The sequence below is a fragment of the Homo sapiens genome, chromosome 4 (assembly GCF_000001405.40).
Source record: "Homo sapiens chromosome 4, GRCh38.p14 Primary Assembly".
Lineage (NCBI taxonomy): Eukaryota > Metazoa > Chordata > Mammalia > Primates > Hominidae > Homo > Homo sapiens.
In genome coordinates, this window is record NC_000004.12 from 55,326,883 (window position 1) to 55,340,908 (window position 14,026).

The window sequence follows — 14,026 nt, forward strand, 5'->3', positions numbered from 1 at the left end:
CATTTTTCCAGCAAGACCCTATAAGTGATGAATTGTGTTTGTTCTATCAATTTAAAAAAACTTTGTCATCATTCTTGAATGATAGTTTCTTTTGTATAGATTCTAACTGACACTTTGCTTTAGTATTTCAAAACATTATTCCATTTATTTCTGGTTCCTAATATTGCTGTTGTAAGTCTGATTACTGCTCCTCTAGGTAATTTGCCCTTTTTCTCTGGGTGCTTTTAAGATTTTTTGTGTGCTTTGTTTCTAATATTCGTTTTTACTTCTGCGTCTAGATACCTGTATTTATATATTCTGCTCATTTCATTGTGTGTCTTAAGTATGAAGTTGTTTTTTTTTTGAGACAGGGTCTCGCTCTGTCACTCAGGCTGCAGTGCAGTGGCACAATCAGAGCTAACTGCAGCTTCATCCTCCAAGGCTCAAGAGATCCTCCTGACTTAGTGTCCTAAGTAGCTGGGACCACAGGCACATGCCACCACATCCAGCTAATGTTTTTTATCTTTAGTAGAGATGAGGCCTCACTGTCTTACTCAGGCTGGTCTTCAACTCTTGAGCTCAAGCAATTCTCCCACCTTGGCCTCCCAGTGCTGGAATTACAGGCATGACCCACCATGTCCAGGCAAGATTCACATTTTTTTTGTGAATCTTGTTCTAGTTCTGTCACCCAGGCTGGAGTGCAGTGGCGCGATCTCAGCTCACTGCAACCTCTGCCTCCCAGGTTCAAGCAATTCTCCTGCCTCAGCCTCCCAAGTAGCTGGGATTACAGGTGCCCACCACTGCGCCCAGCTAATTTTTGTATTTTTAGTAGAGACGGGGTTTCACTGCGTTGGCCAGGCTGGTCTCGAACTCCTGACCTCATGATCTACCCACCTCAGCCTCCCAAAGTGCTGGGATTACAGGCGTGAGCCACCGCACCCGGCTGAGATTCACATTTTTTATCAATTTGGAAATTTTCAAACATTACCCTTTCAAACTTTACCTGTTCTTCATTTTCTTTTTTTCTTCTGGCATCATACTGTTTGGCTCTCTCCCTTTTCTCCTCCATGTTTCTTATCTTCTTTCATTTTCCATCTCTGTTAATCTCTGCTGCTTTCTGGGTATCTACCAGAAGATTTAGCTTCTAGAGCGCTAGTTCTCTAGGTATCCCTAATTAGCTATTCAATCACCACTCATGTTTTACTTTCTAATTTTGTTGTTTTTTTTCCTGATGTGTTCTTACTTTGTCGCCCAGGCTGGAGTGCACTGGCATGATCATAACTCACCGCAGGAACTCCCCCCAATAAAGCTAAAACTCACCTGAGTTGTAAAAAACTCCAGCTGACATAAAATAAACTACGAAAGTGGCTTTAACGTATCTGAACACACAATAGCTAAGACCCAAACTGGGATTAGATACCGCACTATGGGCTCAAGCAATCCTCCCTTCTCAGGCTCCCAAGTAGCTAGGATTATAAGCAAGCACCACTGCAATCAGCTAATTTTTAAACTTCTTGTAGAGATAAGGTCTCGCCATCTTGCCTAGGCTGGTCTCAAACTGCTGGCCTCAAGCGATCCTCCCATCTTGACCTCCCAACATGTGAGGATTATAAGCATAAGCCACAGCACCTTGCCCAGCTATTTCTTTTTTGGAAGTTCTATTTGAGGCCAGGCGCAGTAGCTCACGCCTGTAATCCCAGCACTTTGGGAGGCCCAGGACGGGAAGATCACCTGAGGTCAGGAGTTTGAGACCAGCCTGGCCAACATGGCGAAACCCTGTCTCTACTAAAAATACAAAATTAGCTGGGTGCGGTGGTGGGCACCCATAATTCCATCTACTCAGGAGGCTGAGGCAGGAGAATTGCTTGAACCTGGAAGGTGAAGGCTGTAGTCAAGAAGTGAAGGTGAGTCAAGACCGCGCCACAGCACTTCAGCCTGGGTGGCAGAGCGAGACTCTGTCTCAAAAACAACAAAAAAAGAAGTTATATTTGGATCTATAAAACCTGCTTGGTCTTTTCTTAATAGTGCATTCTTTGCTAGGGTTTTAAATTCTGCTAGTGTGCCTTTGATCATTTTGAACATATTTATTTTATACTCTTTCCCACTGTCATTCAGTTATCTCAGTTTCTTAGTGTTCTGTATTCTTGATTTTTATCACTCATAGCATATCACTTCCCCATGAGTTCTGTGCCTTTTTAGGAACTCATCTTTAATGTGAGTTTTTTTTTTCTCTCTCTGACCATCTTTTCCAAGTGGTTTGGTATTTGTTTGTGCTAGACAGAACTATCAAAAGCTTAGACTGATATTCATGTTACCTTCTCACCTGAGAAAGATGACTAATGACAGAACCGGTAACCAGGAAATTAGATCTGAGGTAAACAACTAGAGAGCAGACAGGTTGATATTTTTCCCCTTCCCAAAGTCCAAGCTTCTACAGACAAGCCATTTTTTAAATCTACCTCTGCCAGTGAATAGAGTTTTTTTTTTTTTGACTCATATTTATACATTTTTTAAATCAGAAGGCTCCAGATAAATCTTATAAACTACGCATTATTGGTTTAAGATATAGATGATAGCAGCAGGTTAACACTCCTGCCGTAAGAAAGAAATAGAAAAAAACATGCCAGACACGGTGGCTCATGCCTGTAATCCCAGCACTTTGGGAGGCCAAGGTGGGTGGATCACGAGGTCAGGAGTTCGAGACCAGCCTGGCCCTTATGGTGAAACCCCATCTCTACTAAAAATACAAAAATTAGCCAGGCATGGTAGCAGGTGCCTGTAGTCCCAGCTACTCAGGAGGCTGAGGCAGAAGAATCGCTTGAACCTGGGAGGCAGAGGTTGCTGTGAGCCAAGATTGCGCCACTACACTCCAGCCTGGGCAACAGGGTGAGACTCCATCTCAAAAAAAAAAGAAGAAGAGAAAAACATAAGCAAAAACAAAAACCATATTTTAAGACACTGAAAAAACTACAGAAACAAAATCTAGAGAAATTAAATTCCAGAGAGGGAGAAGTCCTTCCTAGGAAATTGGCAGTCACTTCTATTCTGTTGCTCTATGTGCAACAAGAGTAAGAGTAAAGGGTGGAGTCTCTCTGAGGGAAAACACTGACTTCAATCTCTATGGTCCTTTTATACATAATGTCTGACATATAATGAAAAAGTATGAAATGTGAAGCACAAAAAATTGTGACCTATAATCAAAGGAAAAACAGACACTAGAAGCAGATACACAGATAACTCAATTAAATAGACAGATATTAAAGATATTGATCTTTAATGCTTATGCACCTCATAACATAGCTTCAAAATACACAAAGCAAACTGACAGAAATAAAACGAAAGACAGACAAATCCATAATCATTGCATATATTAATATATCTCCCTTAGAAAATGGTAGACTAAGCAGACAAGAATATCAGTAAGGATAAAACCGTCCCTATGAACTTTATAAAATAAATCAGGAAATAAGGGAGAGGCGGGAACAAAAATAAACCGAGCTTGCAACACATTTAGCATTTAATCATTAGATCAGCTTCCTCTCTGACCCACTTCCTCATAGTTGTCTGCCTATTGTCTTAGACTCATGTAGGCCCTAGATTATAGTTCTCTTTAACTGCTCTATAAACAAAACTTATTAAACATTATGCAACATTAAGTTTTCCTTTTGAGATATGGTTTCAGGTCCTGAATACCGGTGAAACTACTGACATCAGCTGGTCTGAAGGACCCCACAAGGAGGTGACTCTCCAAAGAATGCAGTGTCTACATCCTGATGATTTCATCCCCCTTACCCCAACCAATCAATGACACCAATTTTGCAGTCCCTTCCCCTTCATTGTCCCCTTAAAATCTCCAGCCCAGAACTCCTTGGGGAGATAAATTTGAGGGTCTCCTCCTATCTCCTCACTTAGTACCCTGTGATCATTAAACTCTCTGCTGCAAACCCTGATGTCTCAGTGTATTTGTATGTTACTGTGCAGTAGGCATATAAACCTGTTGATCTTTTAACAGGATATAAAATATTTGAGTACTACTAACCAACTTGATTCCATTGAAATTTACAAAATACTATACTCAAATATTATAGAACACACTTTCTTTTCAAGTACATGTAAATATTTACAAAATACACCACATTCTGGAACATAAAGCAAGTCTCAATACATTTCAAAGCATTGAAATCATATAAAAATATTTATTGACCAGTGTAATTGAACTAGAAATCAGTAACAGAAAGATAACTAAAGAATTCAAAAATGGTGGAAATTGAGAGAGGAAGTCACAATGGAAATTGTAAATTTTATTTAACTAAACAATAATAAAAAATTTTCGGCTGGCACGGTGGCTCACGCCTATAATCCCAGCACTTTGGGAGGCCAAGGCAGGCGGATCATGAGGCCAGAAGATTGAGACTGTCCTGGCTAACATGGTGAAACCCCATATCTACTAAAAATACAAAAAAAAAATTAGCCAAGCGTGGTGGCGGACACCTGTAGTCTCAACTACCAGGGAAGCTGAGGCAGGAGAATGCCATGAACCCAGAAGGTGGAGCTTGCAGTGAGCCAAGATCATGCCACTGCACTCCAGCCTGGGCGACAGAGTGAGACTCCATCTCAAAATAATAATAATAATAATAATAATAATAATAATAAATTTTCTATCAAAATTTGTGAGATGCAGTTAAATCAATGCCTAGAGGAAAAACAATAGTTAAAATGCTCATTAGAAAAAAATATATTTTATTTCAATCATCTAAGCTTCCATCTCAAGAAGCTAGAGGCCTTGTAAAGTAGCTCACTCCTGTAATCCTAGCACTTTGGGAGGCCAAGGCAGGAGAACTGCTTGAGGCCAGGAGTTCAAGACCAGCCTGGGCAACGTAGGAAGACCCTGTCTCTCAAAAAAATTTTTTTTAATTAGCTAGGCCTGGTAGCACAAAAAACCTGTAGTCCCAGCCACTCAGGAGGCTGAGGTGGGAGAATTACTTGAGCCTGGGAGGTGGAGGTTACAGTGATCCATGATCACACCACTGCACTCCAACCTGTATGATAGAGTGAGCTCCTGTCTCAAAAAAAGAAGCCAGAAAAAAGTGGCAGATTACACTCAAGAAATTAGAAAGAAGGGAATACAAATCAGAGCAAAAAAAAAAAAAAAAATTCAACGAAATCAAAGACAAATATAAATAGGGGAAAAAAATCAACAAATCCAACAGTTTGTTCTCAGAAAAGATTAATAAAATTTTATAAAACTCTAGCAAGACTGGTAAGAAAGAAAATACAAATTATCAATGTCAGAAAAGAAAAATGGGACATAACTTGAGATCTCTACTGACATTTAAAAGGATACAAGATTATTCTGTATAACTAGATATTAACAACTTAGAAGAAATGGATAAAATGCTTGAAAAAAACACAACTTTCCTAAACTGATACAAAAACAAAAAGTGAATAGTCCTATATCTGTTTTTTAAAATTGAATCCATAATTTAAAACCTTCCTACAAAAACATCCTCAAGCTCAGGTGGCCTCACTGGTAAATTCTACTAGCATTTAATGAAAAATTAAGCTATTCATATATAAACTCTTTCAAAGACAAGAACAAGAAGGAACAATTCCCAGCTTGTTTTATGAACTCATATGACCCTGGTACCAAAACCTGACAAGGACATTACGAGAAAATAAGTCTTCAAACCAATATTCCTCATAAGCAAAGATACAAATAATCCTCATCAAAATATTAACAAGTCAAACCCAAAAATATATTTAAAAGTATATTAAATAATGACCAAGTGGGGTTTATCCCAAGAATGCAGGTTGGTATAATTTCTGTAAATCAATGAAATTAATCACATTAAGAGAATGAAAGGAACAATGTGGTTGTCGCAATAAACACATCAAAGTATATAATAAAATTCAGCATCTTTCATGATTAAAAAAAAATCAACAAACTCGAAATAAAAAAAAAAAACTTCTTCAACCTAATAAATGGTATCTGTGAAAAACCTGCAGCTAACATTATACTTAATGATGAAAGACTGAATGCTTTGCCCTTAAAATCAGGAACAATGCAAGAATATCTGCTCTCATCACTTCTATTCATCATTGTACTAGAAGTTTCACTCAGTACATAAGGCAATCAAAATAAATAAATGCCATTCAGATGGTAAAGGAAGACAGTTTTAGCCCTTATTCACAGATGACATGATTCTAAATATAGAAATCATAAGGTAGTCACAACCTCTTAGAACCAATAACTACATTTTGCAGGATCACAATCCACAAGGTCAATATTTTAAAAAGCAATTGTTTTTCTACATACAACCTACAAAGAGTTGGAAATGACATTATTAAATATCTTTGTCATAAACATCAAATACCTAGAAATAAATTTAAAATGTGTAAGGGTTCTACACTGAAATTTTAAAAATATTGCTAGGAAAAATAAAGAATAAAGAGACAGATCACGTTCATGTTTTGGAAGATTTAATATTGTCGAGATGATCATTGTTCCCATATTGATCAAATTATTCAATGTAACTGAAATGAAAATCCCAGCAAGAATTTTTTGGAAACTGACAAGCTGAATCTCAAGTATATATGGAAAACAAAGGGCCTAAAATAGCCCAAGATAATGTTGAAAAAAACCATGCTGAAGGATTTACATTATCATATTTCAAGACTTGATATCAAACCATACTAATTAAGAGAATGTGGCATTAGTGTTAGGATACATAGATATATGGAATAAAAATGATTCCATAAATAGACCAACACATATTGGTTACTTGATTTATGGTGAAGATCCATGCAATTCTGTAGGGAGAAAGATAGTCTTTTCAACAGAAGGTGCTGAAGCAATTGAGTATCAACAGAGAAAAAACATACATATTTTTGGCCCTCATCTAATACCACACACAAAATTTAATTGAGATAGTTCATAGATCGTAGATTTCAATGTAAAAGATAAAAGAACAAAACTTCTAGAAGGCCAGGCATGGTGGTTCAAGCCTATAATCCCGCCACTTTGGGAGGCCGAGGAGGGAAGATCATTTGAGCCCAAGAGTTCAACACCAGCCTGAGCAACATGGTGAGACTCCATCTCTACAAAAAATTTTTAAATTATCCGGGCGTGGTGGCTTAGATCTGTAGTCCCATCTACTCAGGAGGTAAGGCAGAAAGATTACTTAGCCCAGGAGTTCAAGGCTGCAGTGAGCTATGATAGTACCACTGCACTCCAGCCTTGGTGACAGAGCAAAACTCTGTCTAAAAAAGGGAAACAAACAAAAAACTTTTAGAAGAGAACGTAGAAGACTATCTTCATGATCCTAGGATAAGAAAAGATTTCTTAAATATGAATTAAAAGCACTAACCATAAAAAAAAGACTGTTAAATTGGACATCATCAAATTTAAAACTCCTAGATATCAAAAGATACCATTAGGAAAGCAAAAAGGCAACAAAGGATTTTTATCCAGAATATATTATTGGTCCTACAGACCAATAAGAGACAAAACAATTTCAAAATGGGCAAATTCAGACACTTTATAAGAAGATAGCCAAATAACCAATAAGTATATGGAAAGGTGCTAACTCTATTATTCATCAAGGAAATGCAAATGAAACTACAATGAGATACCTTTACAAACTCACTAGAATGAATACAATTTTTAAAGATTAATAATTTATCCAGTTGGCCAGGATATGGAGCAAATGAAACTACTGATAGACATAGAAAATGGTACAATGGCCTTGGAAAACTGCTTTGCAGTTTCTTCTAAAGCTAAACATATGCTTACTCTATAACCAGAAACTTTTCTTAAAAATGCATACCCAAAATAAATGAGTACTTATGTCCAAAATGATTATACAAGAATGTTCTTGGCAGGTTTACTCATAATAGATTTAAACTGGAAATGATACTAATACCCCAAAACAGGAGAAGGCATCAATTGCAGTATATTCTTCACTGCAATAAAAAGAATGAATTATTGTTACATATAACATGAGTGAATTTCCCAGATATTATGTCGCATGAAAGAAGCCAGGCATAAAGAATATATACTGAATGATTCCGTTTACATGAAGTTCAGGAAACAATTCTATGAGGATAGAAATCAGGATGGCAGTTACTGCTGGGGACACATATAACCTAAGAAAGATCACAGGTAACTTTTAGGTGTAATAAATGTTTTCTATCTTAATCTGAGTGTTGGTTACATGAGTGTATGGGTGGATGAAAAACTCAATTAGTGCACCTGACATACTTTATTATATCATGCCTCAATAAAAAACTACTTAGCATTGGCTGGGCGCGGTGGCTCAAGCCTGTAATCCCAGCACTTTGGGAGACCAAGGCGGGCAGATCACGAGGTCAGGAGATCGAGACCATCCTGGCTAACACGGTGAAACCCCGTCTCTACTAAAAATACAAAAAATTAGCCGAGCGTGGTGGCGGGCGTTTGTAATCCCAGCTACTTGGGAGGCTGAGGCAGGAGAATAGCGTGAACCTGGGAGGTGGAGCTTGCAATGAGCCGAGATGGCACCACTGCACTCCAGCCTGGACGACAGAGCGAGACTCCGTCTCAAAAAATAAAATAAATAAAATAAATAAATAAACTACTTAGCATTAACACTTGTATTTTAATCAAACATAGACCTAAATGTGAAAGGCAAAATAGTAAAACTTCTAGAAGAAAACACTGAGACTATCTTCATGATCTTGGGATAAGTGAAGATTTTTAAATATGACTCAAAAATACTAACCATAAAAAAAACAAGAGATTGCAATAAAGAATACCAGAGAGTCTATTAGTCTATCACCTTAACACATTTATCTACAATTTATCCTGTGAACTTTTGAGGGTCCCAGCCTTGTATAGAAAGAAAAGATCAGTTCCAATCCCCTCCATCACAAGGCCCCACGACCTTCTCTCAGTCTTCATGTGAATGCTAAAACCCCAAGTCCTTAAGTCAACAACTCCCACACACATTTCCCTAATTTTTTCTCCCTCCCCAATTCAGGTCATCAGCCTTACCTAATGTCTGATGCTAGGGGAAGAGAAATGTTCAACAAGCATTCCTCCTCATCTTTGCCTAAATCTTTTTTGTTTGTTTGTTTGTTTTTGTTTCCCAGGCTGAGAGCAGTGGCGTAATCTCAGCTCACTGTAACCTCCACCTCCCGGGTTCAAGCAATTCTCCTGCCTCAGCCTTGGATATAGTAGCTGGGATTACAGGCACACGCCACCAAGCCCGGCTAATTTTTTTATTTTTAGTAGAGATGGGGTTTCATCATGTTGGCCAAGCTGGTCTCGAACTCCTGACCTCAGGTGATCCACCCGCTTCCGCCCCCCAAAGTGCTGGGATTACAGGTGTGAGCCACCACGCCCACCTTTGCCTAAATGTAAACATTTGAGGTTAAGCCAAAAAGAAGTGACATCTTTATTCTCTAGCTCTTTTATGACACTTCTCCCCACCCCCCCGCCCACTGGGTTATCCTGTGCGTGATCTTCCAACTCAAACAGGAAAGATTAACAGCTGCAGGGAAAACGTCAGTTAACCACATTGTACCACATTTTATTCCATTACATTTGAGAAGCAAAATGGGTAATATTCAGTGTTTAAAGTGGGAAAAGAAGTCCAGGCTCTTGGTGCATACACTTCTTCATGTGATCTTTTTCATAGTTCTCCTGTCAGTGGGCTATTCTCTCCCAACAGAATAACTGCCCCCTGCCCGTGACGCCGGAAAACAAATAGGAATGAATTCTATGACCACTGTGATAACTGAAAAATGTGGGAAAATAGTGAAGCAGCGTCGTTGTCAGGGGTAAATACCTGAAGTTCGTTGTCTCACACCAAGGGAATCAAGGACACTGACATAAGAAGTGAGTTTAAGACCAGAGGTTTAACAGGCGAAGGAAGAAAAGAGAACAGCTCTCTCTCCCGCAGAGTAAGAGAGGCGCCCAAGGGTATCTTCCGGTTTTGTAGAGAAATGCACTGGGTTTTATAGGCGTGCTTAAGGAGGCGGTGTATGATTTACATAGGGCCCAAAGATTGGCTGGAGCAGGAGTTCTCTTTGCATAGCACGGGAAGAAGCTGGCCACCCCACCCTAATCTTTCGTTTTGCAGATGGGGTCTCTACATGGCTGGAGCCATGTTGTCTGTTCCTTATTGTACACGTGGTTAGCCAAGAAAAGGGAGGAGGCTCACGCCTGTAATCCCAGCACTTTGGGAGGCCAAGGCGGGCGAATCACAAGATCAGGAGTTCAAATCCAGCCTGGCCAATATGGTGAAACCCTGTCTCTACTAAAAATACAAAAATTAGCCAGGGGTGGTGACGGGTGCCTGTAATCCCAGCTACTCGGGAGGCCGAAGCAGGAGAACCGCTTGAACCTGGAAGGTGCTGGTTGTCGTGAGTCGAGATCACGACACTGCACTCCAGCCTGGCGACAGAGCGAGACTCTGTTTCAAAAAAAAATCATAGCTAACTGCAGCCTCAAACTCCTGGGCTCGAGCCATCCACTAGCCTCAGCCTCCCCAAAGTGGTGGGATTACAGGAATGAGCCACTGCGCCTGGCCTTCTATGGTATCTTTTGATGAAGAGAGGATTTTAATTTTAATGTTGCAGAATGTTTGGATATTTTCCTCTAGTTGCTTTTCATATATTGAATAAGAACACCTTCCTTACCATGAAGCCATGAAAATAGTCTCCTAGGCCAGGTGCAGTGGCTCACACCTGTAATCCCAGAACTTTGGGAGGCTGAGGCAGGTGGTTCATCTGATGTCAGGAGTTCGAGACCAGCCTGGCCAACATGGTGAAACCCCGTCTCTACCAAAGATACAAAAATTAGCTGGGCATGGGGCCGACGCCTGTAATCGCAGCTACTGGGGAGGCTGAGGCAGGAGAATCTCTTGAACCCGGGAAGCGGAGTTTGCAGTGAGCCGAGACCGAGCCACTGCACTCCAGCCTGGATGACAAGAGCAAAACTCTGTCTCAAAAAAAAAAAAAAAGCAGAAAATAGTCTCCTATATTACCTTCTAAAAGATTTCATTTTACCTGTTACATAGGTCTTTAGCCCACCTAGAATTATTTTGATAAATGGAGTAAGGAAGGGGTCTCATTTCTTTCTATCTCTATCTCTTTCATCTCTGTCTTCATCTCTGTCTCTCAGAGTTTGCTGATTTGTCCTAGCCTCATTTATTGTAAACTTCATCCTTTCCCCACTGACACATCATGCAACCTCAAACTTACATCCAGGGTTGACACATGTGGGTGTCTTTTTCTGGACTCTCCATTATGTTCCATTGTTTATTTGTCTGTTCCTGCTTCCTTTACCACACTGACATAATTACACATAGTAACACTCTGTATTAGCCTTGATGTCTCATAGAGTAAGACATCTAACATTTTTCTTCACCTTCAAGAGTGCCTTGGCCACCATGAGCCCTTCTTATTTTCATATAAAGTTTAAAATCAGCTTAAGTTCCTCAAAAGATTGGGGTTTGATTGGGATTATATTTATTACAAAAATCAGTTTAGGAAGAATTGTCATCTTAACTATATGGAGTCTTCTAATTTGTAGGATTAATATACCTCTTCTGTTAAACACATTTTCTTTAATATCAGTAACATTTTATTATTTTATTTGAAGAAGTCTTACGTAGAAAGCAAAAAGTTTCCTCTTCAAAGTTTTCCTTCTTGTTAAAGAATAAATCACAAGTGTTAGAAATAATAGTTTATTTTAAAGACTTTCTTCAAGCCTCCTTGCTTTGTGCTAATAACTTTGTTAAGCCCTATCCTATGTAACTGTTGGACGTCATCACAGACACATTCCAGCTCACAGCGTATGCCCCTTCCTTATTTGGAAATGTTATTGCTTCCTTAAACCTTTCGTAAGCAACTTCTTGTTGTTCTTCTCTGCACTTAACTATTTAGGAAAGTTGCAGGTTATTAGTAAACTGGGTATCAGTTTAAGATTGTGAGGTCCCACTCCAGTCAATGGATGCAGGACACAGCAGTAAGGATGACTCAAATGCGTTAAGGGATAAATATGTCTGCTTTTCCTTTGTTCAAGGATGCTCTCGCCATTGTTCCATCTGCAATTGAGCACCCTTTCTGCAGAAAGTAAAGATGGCCTTGCTGAGAGATCTTTTGTCACTGTGATGACTTTTCTTTGTGGCACCAATGATCTATTTCTAACAATTTTGGTATTTCTAACAATTTTGGTAGCAATTGTACGGGTATACATTCTCCTCCGGGGCATCTCTAGTCCTCTCTCATGAGGCGCCATGCCGCCTCTTGTGGTGGCCTTAGGGGTAAGGGGCTGAGACCCACCCGGTGTGATGAATAAATCTGGACTCTCAGCAACACGGAAAGAAACTGGCCACTAACCTGGGGTAAAGGATCCTCATCTACCATGGCGACGACTCTGTGCACAGACCAACGAAGGAGAAGCCACGGGAGTCGATAAAGTACTTCCTTGATGGTGAAATTCCGGAGGGCTGAATGTGTATGTGTGTGAATGATCACAGACAACCCTGTTTGCAGTGTTGTTTGTGTGGATGGTGACAAGTCCTGCTGCTGGACGGAGTTAGTGGGTCCTCTCCGCGGTCCCCTAGCTACCTCATATGGCTTAGGGCGGATCCTGCGTTGGGATTTATACCGGCATGCCAACACTAAGAGGGGCCTAATTCTCCCTCGGGGAAGCGGCCAGAGTGGGAAGTGTGCAAGGGACCTTCAGAGAAGGAAAGGGAGGAAACAGGTCAACCTCCCAGGGCAGGCAAGGCAAGACATACATCCCTGGTTTGAGGGGTTGAGCCTTCTGGGGCAGGCAAAGCACCCCCTGGTTTGAGGGGTTGCACCTTCCAGGACAGGCAAGGCAAGACATCCCTGGTTTGAGGGGTTGAGCTTTCCGCTAATTTCAGGAGACTGAACCTTACCAGTAAGCAACATGGGAAACGTTTCTAGTAAAATGAGGACAAGGAGTAAAGCTGACTCAGGGAGAGGTGAAGGTGATCAGATTCCTTCTGGTAGTCCTTTAGGGTGTATGTTAAAATATTAGAAGGATAAGGAAAGGACCAAAAACACGTAAAAGCAGCTGCTGTCCCAGCTTTACCCTCCTTAAGCAGCCATTCCACCTTGTTGTCAGTGTAAACAAGGGCGTAGCCTTAGAAATACCCTAATCAAAAATCCTTAACACAGTAACCCGCGGATGGCCCAAATGCATTCAGTCTGTAGCGGCAACTGCTTTGCTAACAGAAGAAAGTAGAAAAATAACTTTTAGAGGAAACCTCATTATGAGCACACCTCACCAGGTCAGAACTATCCTAAGTCAAAAAAAAAAAAAAAAAAAAAAAAAAAGCAAAAAGGGAGCTTATTGACTCAAGAACCTTAAAGTATGGGGCTAGTCTCTTAGAAAAAGATGATTTAACATTAACCACTGATAATTCCCTTAACCCAGCAGGTTTTCTAAGGCGGGGGAGAGCAGGGATCTAAATCTTAATTAATTACTGTACAAAGGTCCGACCAGACCTAGAAGGAACTCCCTTCAGGACAGGACAATAGATGTTTCCTCCCGGGTGATTGAGGGAAAAAGACAATGGGTATTCAGTAAGTAATAGGGAAACTCCTGTAGAAGTAGAGTTAGGAAAATTGCCTAATAGTTGGTGAGTTGTTTGCACTCAGCCAAGCCTTAAAATACTTACAGAATCAGGAAGGAGTCATCTATATCAATTCTAAGTTAAATTTGGACTAAATGAGGTCTTATTAATCACAAAGGATAATTGAAATCCCAAACTTACAAGGTTTTCAACAAAAGTAAAGTTTCCTAAAAGTTAAGTGTCACATGTATTATCCTAACTTCTAATCTTGTGGCCTTAGGCAGTCTAGTCCACAGACATGAAGAAAGTTTGCTTTAGAAAAGAATGGTTATCATCTTAGAGAGAGAGAAAAAAATTTGTTTTAAAGGTTTAAGCAAGTTTTGAAACATTAATTGTAAGGGGAATTCTGTGTGTAAACATTGGCTAAAGTTAAAGGGGTATCATCCAGTTTTTCT